Source organism: Homo sapiens, chromosome 5 (genome assembly GCF_000001405.40).
Source record: "Homo sapiens chromosome 5, GRCh38.p14 Primary Assembly".
NCBI lineage: Eukaryota > Metazoa > Chordata > Mammalia > Primates > Hominidae > Homo > Homo sapiens.
The window spans coordinates 173,891,992-173,909,322 of record NC_000005.10 but is presented as its reverse complement, the minus strand read 5'-3'; the positions used below and the strand labels follow the sequence as shown (position 1 = coordinate 173,909,322).

Sequence of the window (17,331 nt, the reverse complement as noted above, 5' to 3'; positions counted from 1 at the left end):
AGAATAAAAGGATCAGAGTTAGAATAAGAGTTAGAATTTAGATGAGAAAGCAAAACAAAACAAAACAAAACAAAATCTCAATTCTTATTTACTCTCAACTTGCAAAATTAGGCTTGATTTTGTTGCATTAAAATTAAAGGGAAGGAAGAGTGTGGGGTACATTGCTGACCTAAACCCCTAGCTTAACCAAGTGCGTTTCAAGAGTGGGTATGGAATCCTAAAATATACAACATCCCAAGTGCTCTGACATTCCTCAGGATGAAGAGTACTAGAGACAACTAAAATTAAGGTTTAGCTTGATACATTGAAAGTAGGAGATGAAAACATTTTAAAATTAAACTGAGACAAAGCAATAATACATGCTCTGACCCACCTTAAGGATACTGTACATAAACACACAAAGGCCACTGCAAGAATATTAAAGAAAAAGGGGATCCCAAAGGAATCTGCAAGCAGAATTCTAAAACTTCTATTCAATTATATTTCCTTTTACATTACAATTTAAATTCAAAGCTTTGACTTTATTTTTTAAAACATCACCTCCTAATTGTATCCCCTTCATTTTTCTACTTTCCTAGCTAACTTCTAGAACATCTAAGCTGACAGAGGATGTCCTCCACTTGAGAGCATTTTTATTTTTTATTTTTTTTGGATGGACCTAACATTTCTCTTCTGTGCTTTTGTAACACATCTTACCCCACATGATTCTTCTGCTTCCCTGAAATAGGGACCACTCCTCCTGACCCCATCTCATCATGCAGATATTCAGTAATGTGCGCTGAGTGGTTTTATAATACCACTGCAACTTGAGGAGTCCAGGGACAGTATATTTAGGTAGAATCTAATATTACAGGTAAGAGACAGTATTTCAAGTTTTCCCCCAGGGGTGGGAAGGTTAGGGTGAGGATGAGGATGGGGAAGAGTGAACACGTGCCTTACCATTCTATCCTGCTCTAAACTGGTATGACTCCCTCCAGAACATCTTTGCCCCACCTCTTCCACCGGATTCTTTCCTCATTATCCTCATCTCCTGAACAAGATCTATCTATAGAGAGGCAGGAGTATACATGGCCAGGATCAGACTAAGGTTTAGTATTCCCAAAAGAGAGAAGCTGTTCTGTGTTTACACTTCCTCATTTCAAGCACTAAATTAAGTCAAAACCTGCATATTCTTTCAGAAGCCAAGTAGACTTGAGGCATTATTTGAGGTTTAGAAGTTAATATAAAATTACACTATCTCATTCTATAGTTGCTGGATATGTTCTATTTCAGCAATGAACCACACCTTTAAAAGGGCCATCCATTTCCATCTCCAACACAAACCAGTCTTGGAGGCAATAATTCCTGGTGTCTGTTCACTTGGCTGTGTCCTCTGACTGTGAGCTTCCCAAGAGCAGGAACTATGTCTCACATCAAATATTTCCAGTATGCCTACCACAACAGGGTGATGGTGCGCCAAGTCAGTCATGTCCTAAGCCCACAAGACTGTCCAAAAGAGCCTGAGGTGGCAGGAGCTTCCTGGCAGATGATCTCCGTTTAAAAATTATCATTTTCTATGTGTGTCATGATGTAAAACTGGTTAAGAAGCACTGTCCTGTATTTCTGTATTACTCTGCCTCACATAGGTCTTGGCAGGTAGAAAGCATGCAAATGTTTGCTAAATCAATGAATGGATGTATTCCTTCATGTAATTTTTAAACATTTAAAATATTCTCTGCTACTTCCTTAAGATTTATTTGTCTTTATATTTCCCCCTTTCCCTCTAAAGAGCTGTATGTTTTCTTTTGGGGGAGGGGAGGAATTAAGTTTAGTGTTGTTTTTCATGCAACTAACAGAGTAAGCAACCTTATGAATTTCCGGAACATGCATTTTGCAATCACTGAATGACAAGAGCACTGAAAAGAAGCAATTGATAAAAAATATAGACTGGTTTTGTTTGGTTTGTTTTATAAGAACTATTTCCAGTAAGTCAAGAAGCCTCCTTTTTACCTGTAAGTTTTTGTTTTTGTTTTTCTACCTACAGGTTTTGTTGTTGTTGTTGTTGTTGTTGTTGTTTTGAGACGGAGTCTCGCTCTGTTGCCAGGCTGGAGTGCAGTAGCGTGATCTAGGCTCACTGCAACCTCCGCCTCCCGGGTTCAAGCGACTCTCCTGCCTCAGCCTCCTGAGTAGCTGGGACTAAAGGTGCGTGCCATCACGCCCCACTAATTTTTGTATTTTTAGTATAGACGGGGTTTCACTATGTTGGCCAGGATGGTCTTGATCTCTTGACCTTGTGATCCGCCCACCTTGGCCTCCCAAAGTGCTGGGATTACAGGTGTAAGCCACCATGCCTGGCAACCTATAGGTTTTTAAATGTGGTATTATGAATGGAATTTAGTAAACTATTCCACACTTTCCTCCCACTACCCTGCCCCATGGGCACCCCAAGCATATTGTGGGAAACATAAAGATTTTTGCTGACTTCTAACTGGTAAAGTACATTAAAACTAAAATCCTAAATTAAATTTTAAATTTTCAGTAATGTTTTATGAAATGAAAAGAAATTCTCCACCCTTTTTACACTAATTTTTAGTAATGATACTAATTTTTTCCTATAATTTGTTACAGTTTAATACAGGGATGACAAGTAAATACAAATACACAAAGTTTGTTCAATTGGTACTATTAGATGCAAGGTGTTTTGAGAAGGATTCTCAGGCTCTACAGGGACTCAGAAGGAAACTGCCTCCACAGACTGCTGCAAGGTATAAGGTCCGATGACACAAGTACTTCATTCTTGCCAAACCTAGTCTAATATGTATTCTTCCCCACAACCCAAACTTATTAGCAAGTATAGTTTACTACAAACATTTTGTTTATGATGCTTTGGTAATTCAAAGAGTTCAAAAGCCACATATTTTGTCAAGTAAACATTCTGTTCTCAGAGCAGGTTTTAAGATTGCCATTCTTGATTTACTCCCTCACTGATCTTTTCTGTCCATTTTTAACAACTAATTTAAAAAAATCCTAAAATGTGTCTGTACCATTAGGAAATAGATAAAGGGGACACAGATAAACAAACCCAAAGTATAAGAACAGTACAAACAATGCTGGTTTTCCTATGCAACAACGAAAGAGTCAAATCAAAAGAATAAGAGTGCTTTGATTTCCATATTTCATTCTTCAATTTTGCCTTTTTAAATTGTTAATTGGATCAAATATAACCACTGACCTATTTTCTAGAATCCATTTCCCAAAGATTAACTGTAAAATAGAAACCTTGTTAGGTGATGCTCTTCTTGATTGAACTTGAGCTAATGACCAAAACATGAACATTAGCATAAATGAGTGGAATGGGCATTAGACACTAGGAAGCTTCAACTCTGCCTGTCGTATTTTATGAGCTTGGGCACTTTCGTCCTTTATACCTCTTTTCTGGTCCATAAAAGGAGTGGTTTGATTGGATCTCTGATGTCCCTGTCCTAACTCCAAAATACATTTGTATTCTAGCTTTTTGATATCCTAACATGTCTTGTTCTTTCAAGATTTACAGTTTAAATTATGACAATTATGGCAGGAACCAAAAATAAGGATGAGAATTTATTAATCAAAGTCCACCACTTTTGCCCACTAATCAAAGTCCATCACTTTTGCCCACAAAAAGGCAAGGGTCAGTGATCAATTAGTAAGAAAATGATCACTTAGAGTCTTAAAAGGACAATCACAGCTGGGTACAGTGGCTCACACCTGTAATCCCAGCACTTTGGGAGGCCGAGGTGGGCAGATCACAAGGTCAGGAGTTCGAGACCAGCCTGCCCACAACATGGTGAAAAAATACAAAAATTAGCTGGGCGTGGTGGCAGGTGCCTGTAACCCCAGCTACTTGGGAGGCTGAGGCAGGAGAATCGTTTGAACCTGGGAGGCGGGGTTGCAGTGAGCTGAGATCACACCATTGCACTCCAGCCTGGCGTTAGAGCGAGACTCCATCTCAAAAAAAAAAAGACAATCATGGCATTTTAATTATGCTACATAAAACATAAAATAAGCTTCTTTCAAAAAAAATCTACTTAAAAAATTTGCTGGGGGACAGAAGAGTGAAGTGTGCTGCTTTCAGATAGATTATTAAAGAATCTCTTATAAAACAAAAGATACTGACAACTCAATTTGCTTTCAACCCCACTGCCAGTTTCTCTTGGCACCCTAAAGGGAGAAATTAGAAAAGCAGACCTACCCTTTATTGAGCATCTACTAAGCACCTGATATTATTCTAGGTACTTGATAAACACTGTCTTAATTAATCCTCAAATCTTCTAAGTTACATTTTTTTATTATTATTATTATTATTATTATTATTATTATTATTATTATTATCTGAGACAGGGTCTCACTCTGTTGCCCAAGTTGGAGTGCAGTGGCACAATCACAGCTCACCACAGCATCAAACTCCTGGGCTCCAGTGATCCTCTGGCCTCGGCCTCCCAAGTAGCTGGGACTATAGACATGAGCTACTGTACCCAGCCTATTACTCCTATTTTAATAATAAAAACTGAGACTAAAGAAAACTTACACAATTTACTACACAGATTGGTTACTGCATAGTTTAGTGGCATAGTCAGATTCAAACCCAAGTCTTACTATAAACCAAGTAAGTGATCCTTCCTTGGGTAGGGTAATGATCATGGCAAAGAACCATACTAATTAAGACATACATTTGAATAAAGGAGGCACTCTAAGGGTTCTGAGGGTATGAATATGCTGGCTAGTGCCTGGCAAACAGTAGGCACTCAAATATTACTTATATTTTACTTATACAAATATTACCTTTTATATTTTACCTATACAAATGATATATATCAGAGGTACTAAAACCATAAGAAGAGAAAGAGAAATCTTATCTTCCTTTTCCCCATTGAGATGACAGAGTGGCATACAAATTAGAGACCCATCATAAATGCATCTCTGGGTTATCTACTAACCACAGGAGTACTGGTGGTAGTAACAGTACTAATAGGATTACTATCAGCAGCTAACATTATGGGTTACATTCATAACCTCATTTATTCTTCACAAAACCCTGATACAATTAGATATGTTCAGTTATTATCCCACTTCACAGATGAAGAAACTGAAGCTTCGAGTATTTAAATAATTCCATCAATGTTAGGTAAGTGGAGGCAGAATGTGAACCCAGACCTTCTGACTCTAGAACATGTGAGCTTAGTAATCATGAAGGAAAATAAAAGATCACCAATGATTTTCAAGGCTAAGCAAAGCAAACTTTATCACAATGCTTAAACCTCATCATATTCTGTAGTCTTAATTATTATATTTAATATACTGAGTTGCATGTCAGTAACTGGTTAGTTTCAGTTTCTGTCATCTCTACTTCACAGGACAATTTCTAAAAGAAAGACCTTATGATACCACTATGAAAATCAAAGTTGATAAAAATAAGCTTCTGACAAAACAAAATGAATGTTTCAGAGAGGACCCTTGTTTTTAGTATACACCTGAATAATACTGCCTGCCAGGGCAAAATGGGAAGACCTACATCAGTATATAGCTAATGACAAGGCTTTTCATGACATTCCAGAAGCTGCCACAAGCAGCACGTGAACCTGCTGGTCTGTTCCTATCAGGAAAAACAACCAAATTGTAATTATGCCACAGACCAAAATAATCATTTGTGGCCATTTTTTTTTAACATCCAGATGGCTGATCTAAGCCAGCGTTTCTCATACTTGAGAGTACGTCAGAATCACCTGGAGTTCTTGTTAAAATACAGATTACTGGGTCCATCCCCACAGTCTCATTCAGCATGGGTCGTGTCCAAGAATTCCCATCTCTGACAAGTTTCCAAATGACACCAGGGATTACTCTTTGAGAACCACGGAGTTAAGCAAATCCATTCAACAGGTTAACTTCATTAGATCCTTAGGGGTGTGCTTTATAGCTTTTATCCTAGTTGGCCAGCTATGATGCAGTCCAGCTTAAATATTCTACAGGAACTACTGTATGATTTCCTTATGAAGAGAAGGGCTTTGCTCTCAAAACCTGAAACAGCTCTGTCTTTCAAGTTCTAAGGTCCATACCTTTGGAAAGATTAAAATAAAGTTCAATTTCACCAAAACAAAATTCCTTAAGAAAAAGCATCAAGAGGTGAGTGGCTCACCATTAAGAACAAACAAAATACAAATTTGGTGCTTGAATTTTCACAATAAAATACTATCTCTGGCATCCATATACCCCATATCTTAAGCATATAGCTTTTTTTTTTTTTTTTCATTCAGCTACATGGAATATCTGCCATTCAGGTATTTACTACTGACATGTCTTCTCTCTCTCACAACTGGTCAAATGCCCTACAAGCCAAGATAAACAGTCTAAACAAAGGATATGCTAATTACTCATTCCTTCAGATTCAACCTATTTATCAAGTCACATCATCAGAAAATACATAGTATATACTGGTCCCTTTGGACTTGCTTTTATAGAATTATGGCTTAACAGCATGATCTCAGATTTTAATAAGCAGAAAATATTAGTAACTGCTGTTTGTTAAACATCTATGAATTTTCTTGTAAAATTTGTCAGCAATGGAAAAATTCATTGTCTGTCAACGCCCCATGATTAGAAACCTGCAAGGCAAATTTCTCTCAAAAATATTTCACTCTTGTTTAAAAGTATGCTTATTTTCATTAGAGAATGAGATCTACATCACCCATCATGTTACATTTTTGTCTTGGATGCTGGGGTGTTCACAGTTAGGTTATGTGCTCACAGGCAAAAACTGTACTGAGTTTAAATGTTCTCATCTAAATATAACCCATGCTACCCACCACCACCACCACCACTCTATTATTGCTTCTTTTTATACTTGAGCTAGTATGTTTTGGCATTACTAGACTGAGTCTAAAACACAAAAGGTAATTAATTGAATGTAACCACATTATTAAGAACCAAAGCCAAAATTCAGCTATCCCTTGACTCATTCTATTTCTATAAAAACATATATTACTGTGATCATCATTTCTCAGACTGCTACATATCTGTACCAGGCTACAGAAGTTTCTCTTTCTGGCTTAAACTTTCCCTGGTAAAGAAGGGAAGGGAAAATATTTTGGTTTGAAAGGAAAGTGTACGCCAGTGTGTCAGCTGCCAAAATAAATAGAAATTTTGAGATGCCAGTAGAGCCCATAATTAATCAAAGGTAACTATGGGAGTTTTAATTCAAGATTTGCCAAAATGTAAATATTCCTCTTGAATTAAATAATATGTAAATTCACAGATCATCAAGAGTGGACTATCCAGTCAACTTTCAAGATTCCACTTCCAAATGACCCTCACATCCCTACACAGGCAGCAAATCCCTTTTCCCTTATGTCTCCCTAGCACTCTGACATCCCACAAGATAGTGATAAGCTCTGTATGACAGAGCTTATACTATCACCATGCGCCATGAGCTTCACTCATTTTCATATCCACAGCTTGTAGCATGCCGTAAAGCCATCGCCACTGATATAGAAAGTGGCTAACATGTTCCTCCTGGCTCTGTGTTGTGCATCTTACATGAATTACATAACATTTACATATATTAGTTCCTCACAACCATCATATGAAGTCAGTACTGTCATTTATTTTCCCCATCGTAGGCAAATGAAGCTAGGAGAAGTTAACTAATTGCCCTACAAAGTCACACAGTAAGTGGTCGAGTCTGACTTCAGAGCAGATGTTCAGGAAAAGTGGTTTAAGTGAAGTTTTGTTTGGGCCTAGAATTTTTGCTCTATTATTACCTGCCAGGTATGAAATCCTTCACTATATATACGTGGCCTGAATGAAGACAACGAGCATCAGAGATTAAAGTTAAAGTGGTAATTATCTGAAGCAGGAGGGACCACATTTAACAGCATCTCATATTTCTTTGCAAGTTCCCTCTTCAATCAGTACTTTTTCATTATAGCTCCTGTAATGAAGGTAGAGTCTAACAGATCTTAGGTTACCACATGTTCCCTAATAGAATTATGATCTACAACTAAATGAATGAATGTCTTCAGTGTATTACCTTGGATCAACAGCTCCATTTGGTTGCCATGTTAATTGACAAATAAGATCTCTCCAGAAAGCCTCTGAGAACATTTTTTATTGCACCTTTACTAAATAAATCACATTCATTTTGAGCATTATAAATCCTTAAAATGATAAACATTTCTTGTCATCACTTATTTGTATTAAAAAACCAAATGACCATTCTAGGCTTGATTAGTCAGTCAGTTCCTGAATCAATAGACCTTTTCTTCTTCTTGACAATTTGTTCATACTAATCTTGCCTAGCAGAGAGAAATAATTAAAATCTATCACAAGCTTTGATACTTGTGATACTAAGTATCAAACATACTAAGCAAGTGATCTTGATGCTGCAATATCATTGAACCTTAATTTCATCAGCAAAACGAGGATAATAGCACCTCCCTTATAAATCTGTAGTGAAAAGCCAGTGAGATAAGGTATATGGGCAGCAGGAGCACAAAGCATGGCGGTTAGTGAACTCATTCAATAAACATTTCTCTGCCCCTTCTATGGTGCAATGAAAAAAAGCATGAAACTCACATTTTAAATTAGATATCGGTTGTATCTGAATAAGTCAGTGATTCTGTGCTATTTTCTATAACCTGTTTTCATAGAGATAATCAAAATATGTTCAAACCTATGACCCCAAAACTATCAGTATAAGACTTCTCCCTAATAAACTATTCAGGGCAAGAAGTCATTAGTTCAAGGAAAGCAGGTAAACAATACTAACACTCAGCCTTGAGGAATGAAGTTATTTAGACCTCAACTGGCTGTTAGAGTTCCTGTTCTCCATGTCTGCTAGGTCTGAGCAGGGTCCGGCGTCAGCAGGGAGAGGGGTCCACCCTAATGTACAACTTTTTTTTTTTTTGAGACAGAGTTCCGCTGTTGTTGTCCAGGCTGGAGTGCAATGGCGCGATCTCGGCTCACTGCAACCTCTGCCTCCTGGGTTCAAGTGATTATTCTGCCTCAGCCTCCAGAATAGCTGGGACTACAGGCGCCCGCCACCACACCAGGCTAATTTTGTATTTTTAGTAGAGATGGGGTTTCTCCATATTGGTCAGGCTGGTCTCGAACTCCCGACCTCAGGTGATCCGCCCACCTCAGCCTCTCGCAGTGCTGGGATTACAGGCGTGAGCCACCACACCTGGCCAATGCACAACCTTTATTCCTAAACTGAAGCTTATGTCTTGTAACCCTCGACATCTCTTCTGTGAGCCTTGACAGTGATCTCAAAAGGCAGCTTGTGCCCAGCCTCCACATTTCCAGACTCTCACAACACCCCCCGACCCCCATCCACAGTTCTCCAGAATCTCCTGGGCAGAAGGCACTCCTCAACACTCAAGCACAAAGAGGAGGTCACTGGCCAGTGCACTTCAGGAGCAGAAGTATCACGTTTGCCATAGCTAAGCATCCTCAGCCCATGGCCCTTCAAAAGCATCAAACATTTGTGCACTGAAAGCAAGCAAGAAATGTAAAAAGTTGATGCAGTCTAAAAGTCTGCAAGGGACCCCAAACCTCTACATTCCTCTTAAAAAACAGAAAAACAAAAAAGACAGCAACCATAAAAGCTCAGTCCTGTCCTGTTCTCTCACTCATCTTTCCTTTCAGAGGTCTTGCCCACAAGTCCACAGAAGTGTGAACCTAGAGAAAGGATAAGATGAAGGGAGGAAAACGGTATACTCTCCTCCCAAATTTCGAATCACTAGCTGGTATTTGGGTGCTTTAACTGGATCTCTTATTTTTCTATGTTACAGAAAGAGAAGATGAAGCCAACAGTGGTCCACCACTATTGGCACCAGGTTGAGCAGTGAAACAGACTGAGCAGGTACAACAGAAATGTGGGCCTTGCTTCAGTTTCTCACTACCCTTCTTTAAAAAAACAACTTGAAAAAAATTTTAATGTTTTCTCTTAAAGACTCCTCTAGAGACACATACTGAACCATTTACAGATGAAATAATATGATATGAAGCAATTGCTTCAAAATAATACAAATGGGGAGAGAGAGGATTAAGGGTATAGATGAAACAAGATTGTCCAGGAGCTGATAATTGTTGAAGCCAGGTGACACATACATGGGAGTTCACTAGACTATTCTGTCTACCATGGAATATATTTAAATTTTTCCATAATAAAAATTTAAGAAGACATGGGTCAGGGGGTGCTTTACCAAGAGAGAAAAAAAATATCACCAGTTGGTCACTTTCAGCAGTGTTCAAGAAAATCAGTGTGTCATCTAGCCTCAGTCCCACCATTATTTAAGTATAGTGACTTTAGGAATTGTATTTTATTTATTTAAAATTAAGTTCAGGCCAGGTGCGGTGGCTCACGCCTATAATCCCAGCACTTCCGGAGGCCAAAGCGAGCGGATCACCTGAGGTCAAGAGTTCGAGACCAGCCTGGCCAACATGGTGAACTAAAAGGTACAAAAATTAGATGGGCCTGGTGGCACATGCCTGTAGTCCCAGCTACTGGAGAGGCTGAGGCACGAGAATTGCTTAAACCCAGGAGGTGGTGGTTGCTGTGAACCAAGATCGCGCTACTGCACTCTAGTCTGGGCAACAGAATGAGACCTTGTCTCAAAAAATAAAATTAAGTTCAAATTATCACACACCAGTTACACACGGGTTTTCAGATTTTAAGAAATTGTGCTATATTTTGAATAAAACTTTGACTTAATATTTCTGTTTGATGAGTTGCTTTCTTAAAACAATAGAATCTTCTAGAAGCCAAATATTAGACATATTTCATTTTATCCTCAAAAATACCAGACAAAAGAAATGAGAAAATAAAGGACCCAGAAGGTGCTGTAGCTTGCCTAGGTCACATAGCTAATGAATGGCCGAGCCATATCTGGAACCCAGATCTGACTTCCATTAACTGAGATAGTTTTCTAATAACATTTTTTCAGAGTATGTGAATATTCTGAGTCACGTTCTTATATTTTTATTTTTTTAAGGTCTCATAGACAATAAAATGGCAGCAACTATTTTACTGACTAGTACCATGATCCTATTGACTAGATGCATTCCTCAAGAATACCTGGAAGAACTATTATTTAAATTGTTACATGGTATTTTAAAATAAATATAGATTTAAAATATATAATACTGAGGAACTAATTATAACTTAGTTTTGGTCTACTAAAAAATGATTAGAATATATCTGATAAATCTTTAGCAAATAGAAATTGCCCAACCAAAATAACCTACAATATAAAATGCGCTTGTACAGCTTAAAGCTTTGAACTTGAATAATTCCATTTGTAAACATGAATGAGCACCTATAGGTAGCTGATGGAGTTTTTCTTTGGCATGTAACAGGACCAGAATTCTGCTATCCAAGTTAAAGTTTGCCTTTTGTGGTACCATTTTGTCATAGAATGTAAATCAGCACATGTTATATATAAACATACGGTAACTTATACGAGTGTGTATTTATAATTGATAATTACACTTTCCAAATATTTTTCCAAAAACATTATAATTTTCTAAAAATTTAAAATTTCCAAATATAAGCATATATTTATAAACACATTAATGACTACGTTAATAAAAAAGTTTGGAAATGCCATTTATACAATTTTTTGTTATAGCTAAAATTGAATGTTAGTTTGCCTTAATGATTAAACAATTTATAGATTAAAATGAAACTATTGGGCTAGTTGATAATTTGTTTATAATATTTAAGAGAAAAAAATGCATGTTCAGTCTTACTCAAAGATTAGCACAGGTCAAAAATACATTACAAACCATGTTACTGATTCATTTTTTATGACAGTCCTGTGCTTAGTCCATAACATAGTAGGTGCTCCAATAAATGTGTGCTAAATACATTAAAATATTTTTTAAAAACTCTTGATTCCAGGATAAAAGCCAAACTATTCTCAATTCAAATCTATGGCACCCTTTCATATCTCTTACTGAAAAATCATAAATTCTCCATTAAAATGTAGTCTCCTTTAATGTATGCAAAAGCAATCACATGTTCTAAAGTTCTTAATAAAACAACTGTGGCCAAAATCTTTCAAAATCCTGAAAGAAACAGGCTGTCAATGCTAATGAAAGTTTAAGCTTATATTTAATTAGAAAACTTCTCTTCGAGAAAATTGATAATTCTGCTAAATATTTTATCTGTCTGGGGTTGCATCTATAGCTTATTCAATAAAGCATATATAGCAAGATAAGCATGACTAAAATATTTCACAGTAACACAAGCTATATTTGTAACTAATTTCATAACTTTATTCAATATAAGAAAGCCATATTTTAAATTTAAAAAGTTAATCAACCTAATATGGCCACATACATAAGGTGCCTCACATTACCCTTCACTGTTAGGTATTATCATATTTTAGAAAAAGTGTTTTGTATTTTTTCTAGAGATGGGGTCTGACCATGTTGCCCAGGCCTGGTCTCAAATTCCTGGGCTCAAGTGATCCGTCCACCTCGGCCTCCCAAAGTACTAGGATCACAGGTGTGACCCACCATGCCCGGCCAGTTATTATTTTCTTGATACGGTATTTTCTTCTGGAATTTAAAAGATTTACTCAAGGTCACACTGCTCATTAGAGTTTAGAGACAAAATTTTTAAAGCTTTATATATGCATTTTATTTATTTTTACAACAGCTTCATATAGTAAATAATTACATTCAAATTCAGAGTCAAACTTAAGTCTGAGTCCACAGCCTATGCTTCACTCTACATTTTTGGGCTCACAAAATAGCCTTTCTCAATAATTGTTCACTTTTCACCTTCAGAAACTGATTGAAAATAGTATCAACAACTTTATCTTTCTATCTACTAAGTATTTTTTGAAAACTTAAAGGTGGAACTCATTCTGTTTCAATAAGATAAAATGCGGTGAGAAAAAATGGATGGGAATCTCCAATAAATTTGAATTTTAAAAAATATATTGCTCTAAATTTATCATGGTAAAACATACTTTTAATTTCTGCAAGGCAACTTTGAACAATTAAACATAAAATAAAATGAATTTTGTCACAAAAAGTTAAAATGCTCACATTATAGGCTCTCTGCCTTAAAGAGAAGCACATTATTCACATTATCTTATGTGAGATGAGACCAAAAACTGAGGTACAATACAGCGCTGAAAAAATATGACAGCGAATTATCAAGCTTATTTTCCTCCTAGCAAAATAGAGAAAGTCATAAGGAAAATAAACTGAAACTGTCAAATTCAAACCTAGGCATATGTTAATTTAAAAACTAGGTTCCCCATTTCTTTCTTATGAACACCAACAACGATGACTTTCAAAAACTTAAACTCATGAGCTAAGTAGCATCTTTCTAGTTGCAACCAGCAACAACCACATTTATTAGGCTTGCGATAAACAGGTTTTTCCTGAAAGGTGTTGGAACAATGTGCTGATCATATTCCATGGCTTCTCTGAAGATGGCTTCTCTGAAGATAGAAAAAGAAAAAGAAAAAAACTCTACCCTGGAATTAGTTTTAATTTCATCAGAAAAGCTATCTAACCTAGTTAAAAAGCCTTCTACAAAGAGGAAGATTTTTCCAATATGTCAGTTCTGCTAGATCTAGAACCATCCGACCCACAATTTACAGTTGAAAAAACTGATTTCTCCCCTTCTAAGTCAAAGAAAATGTTTCCTATGCAAAGATCCTTCTTGGAACGATACTGTATTAAGAAACAAGAAAATGTAATGAGGTTGCCTATTAGACAATTTTAATAATCCACCATGACTTTTAGAACTGAAGCACTCCAGCAGTGTTCTGTTTGCAAATATAAGATGCAGTATATAATTTTGAGGATCTAGACACTTGTTTCCCTATCAAACAAGTTTTAGGATAGTCTTTGTGACATACTGATTTTGTCTTTTTCCTTCCTACCTGACTCTTAGCTAATGAAAGCGGCAACATAATTGAGCTGTAGTTAAGAGGGTGTCAGCACATATACTAAGTAATTCTCCTTTACTTTCCTGTAAGGATAGAAGATCCAGGCACCCCTCCAAAGAAATGCTATACTCAAATATAATTATTGGCAGGTGCCCCAATATATTATCTGCTTTGGATGTCAGAATTCTAAGATATGTTTGGTAAGACAGGATTTTTTTTTTCCTTACTGTAAGGGTCCAATCATGCCTGTAGTCACATGAATATGGACCTTCATTTTGAAATTGGGACAATAAAACCAAATGTCACAGGGCTGAGAAATCCCACATAGGAAGTGAAATAACATATTTGAAAGCACCTAGCCCAGTGCCTGGTATATAACATGTGCTCAAAATTTAAAACAAAAGCATTGACCAAAATATTATCTAAGTTTAACATTTAAAGTTGATAAACAAGTATACTCAATTATTTTCCCCTTTCAATACTCTATCTACAATCAGCCTTTGATCATCATGTATCACTGTAAAATTTTTTCCTCTCATCTTACATGCGTCTGGGAGGCACTCTCCCTTCCAGCCCCACCTGCACCCACTATCCCCCTGCCATATTATCATTATGTGAAGAGGCACTGTAGTATAATGATTAAGAGCCAAATCTTGTCTGTGAATAAAAATAATAATAATTTCTGCTTCATAGGATTGTTGAGTGAATTAAATGAATCAATACATGTAAAACATTTAGAACACAGGAGGCATGTTAGATTTTTTTTTTTTTTTTTTTGAGTCGGAGTCTCACTCTGTCCCCCAGGCTAGGGTGCAGTGGCATGATCTCAGCTCACTGCAACCTCCACCTCCTGGGATCAAGCGATTCTCCTGCCTCAGCCTCTGGAGTAGCTGGGATTACAGGCACCCACCACCACGCCCAGCTAATTTTTGTATTTTTAGTAGAGACAGGGTTTCACCATGTTGGCCAAGCTGGTCTTGAACTCTTGACCTCAAGTGATCCGCCCACTTCAGCCTCCCAAAGTGCTGGGATTACAGGCGTCAGCTACCGCACCCCGCCACATGTTAGCTATTATTATATGCATATTACTTTAGCTGTGTCTAAAAACAGGATTTCAGTCAGGCACGGTGGCTCACACCTGCAATCTCAGCACTGCGAGTGGATTATTTGAGCCCAGGAGTTTGAAACCAGCCTGGACAACATGGTGAAACCCTGTCTCTACAAAAAAATACAAAAATTAGCCGGGCATAGTAGTATGTGCCTGTAGTCCCAGCTACTGGGGAAGCTGAGGCAGGAGGATCTCTTGAGCCCAGGGAGGTCAAGGCTGCAGTGAGCTGTGATTATGCCACTGCACTCCAGCCTGAGTGACAAAGCGAGACCCTGTCTTAAAAGAAACAAACAAACAAAATCAGGATTTGAGTGATGCCCTCTGAATTCATGTAATGAAGCTTTAAGCTAAGCAAAAATAACTTAGAAACACCTTTTAATATACAAAAATCCTCCAAATAAAATGTCTTCCCCTATCAGTTATTGGGGGGGAGGATTATGAATTTAAAAGGTTATTAATTTTAATTCATTATATGTACCCAAACCTGAGTAAACAAACGTAAAAATCATTCTGGTTCATTTCAAATTAAAATAAACATTGCCTAATATCAGTTACACTTCAGGTAAATTATTTCCTTTCAATATAACAATAACGTGCTGGCCTTTGATTGAATACCATTATTATAATGTACCCATGTAAGCACTATCCTTAATGTCTGTGGTAAGTTTCAAGATCTCTCTATCACGCCTAAGGAATTCTTTTTATTCTTTTTTTTTCCCCTGTGAGAAATATTGCAGAAGAAAGGAATTATTTTAATAGTAATTAAATTGAAGTGCTAATATCTATAAAATTTCTTTCCTAAAATTAATAGTGTTTAAGTTATAAATTATTTTTTTTTGAGACGGGGGTCTCACTATGTTGCCCAAGTTGGTCCCAAACTCCTGGGCTCATGCAATCCTTCTGCCTCAGCCTCCCAAGTAGCTGGGATTACAGGCACGTGCCTGCAAGTTATAAATTTAAATAAGACAAATTTAACCAAGTTACTTATACCAACTTAAAATGATACTTTTTCTCAAAAATAACTAATTCACAAGAATTATTGGTTTTTAAAAAGCAAAAAGAACTGTATCCATTTAAGTAAGAATCACAGTGGTCAGTTTACTTACTTCTTTAGACTTTTTCAAAACCCAATTAGGAGTTTCTTGTCATAGAGATTTTTTTCAAATCATTTATTTCTCTTGTGACTTTCAAATCACCCCACTGCTAGCTCTCTCCTCATACATGTGTGCGTGTGCTCTCTCTCTCTCTCTCTCACACACACACACACACACACACACACACACACACACACAGAGCTACAAATGGTGGGGATGAGGAGCAGAATTAACAATTTACTTTTGAATCTTACCATATTTGAAAGTCAGGTACACTGACCATCCTTTTCCCATAATCAATATAAAAGACAGCAGTTCTAAGGGAAGAGTTAGTTTCTAACAATATATTTTAGTATCAATCTTAGTCTAACTATTATTTCATAAATCAACTTAATCTCCAAAGAAACTGTTCAAAAAGATTTCACACATAACACACACTCTATTAGCCCAATAGGAAAAAATATTAATGTGCATATATGTATATTTTATTCATTGTCTGAACTTTTCATTTTTCCTAAAGCAATCTTAACAAAAGTCAGTAAGCTGAGAATGGGAACCAAACTGTGAGGCCACATAAATTCACTGTGTCAGCATATAGTAGCAAAATAAGAAAAAAAGGTGTATTTAGTTCTGAGCCAAATCTTAATCCAGTTAAAATGTACTGAATGTTAACTTACAATTTTTAAATTAGCAATATAAGAATAATTCATAAAACTTATCTTTGCATTAAATTTTCTTTAAATTTATGTTCAAAGGAATATCAAAGGCAACTTTTTAAAAATAGACTTCATGGGATTGTCAATGTCTTAAACAGCCTTTTTACTTGACCACTAAAGCACAGTAATTGATCTTTGGTTTTAACAACTGAAACCCTTTAAAGCAAATGCCAACAGCTTTTTGATAGGCAAAAAAAAAAAAAAATCGTTTTTAGAAGTCGAAAACTAAATATACCCACATATTTTAAGATGCACTGCACCTGAATCCTTAGGAAAGGAATGACATAGGGTTCTCTTAGCAAACTTCCCCTCCCTCTCAGTCAATTACTAATTAAAACAGATAATTCTGCTAGGGCTAACATCGTATTTGGGAACAGTGCAATGATTCTATAATCTGTTTCAGCCTTTGCAGAAATATTTCTAAAGTAACCCTCTAGCTGTAGCACATGTGTACGTGCACACATGTATGTATACATATTTTCAATCCT

General features: G+C 36.6%; 1 protein-coding gene across 5 annotated transcripts in view, besides 3 other annotated features; it reads right to left on the bottom strand.

The window, feature by feature from the left end:
• Positions 1 to 17,331, bottom strand: part of CPEB4 (cytoplasmic polyadenylation element binding protein 4) — a 73,632-nt gene that overhangs the window by 52,658 nt on the left and 3,643 nt on the right. For 2 of the 5 annotated variants that reach the window (NM_001308192.2, NM_001308193.2), the window contains exon 1: positions 16,140 to 16,272. The exons of the other annotated variants lie outside the window; for them this stretch is intronic. The gene's annotated coding sequence lies outside the window, so the exon portion shown is untranslated. Of the gene's footprint in view, positions 1 to 16,139; positions 16,273 to 17,331 lie in introns of those variants that run through there. 5 annotated transcript variants of the gene reach the window in all.
• Positions 7,303 to 7,597: a silencer, noted in NCBI's record as "tiled region #4386; HepG2 Repressive non-DNase unmatched - State 15:Elon". NCBI's record gives its function as "represses a minimal TATA promoter and a strong SV40 promoter by Sharpr-MPRA in HepG2 cells {active_cell/tissue: HepG2}" and the evidence as "EXISTENCE:reporter gene assay evidence [ECO:0000049][PMID:27701403]".
• Positions 15,057 to 15,176: an enhancer, noted in NCBI's record as "active region_23671". NCBI's record gives its function as "activates an Ori minimal core promoter by ATAC-STARR-seq in GM12878 lymphoblastoid cells {active_cell/tissue: GM12878}" and the evidence as "EXISTENCE:reporter gene assay evidence [ECO:0000049][PMID:35858748]".
• Positions 15,187 to 15,306: an enhancer, noted in NCBI's record as "active region_23670". NCBI's record gives its function as "activates an Ori minimal core promoter by ATAC-STARR-seq in GM12878 lymphoblastoid cells {active_cell/tissue: GM12878}" and the evidence as "EXISTENCE:reporter gene assay evidence [ECO:0000049][PMID:35858748]".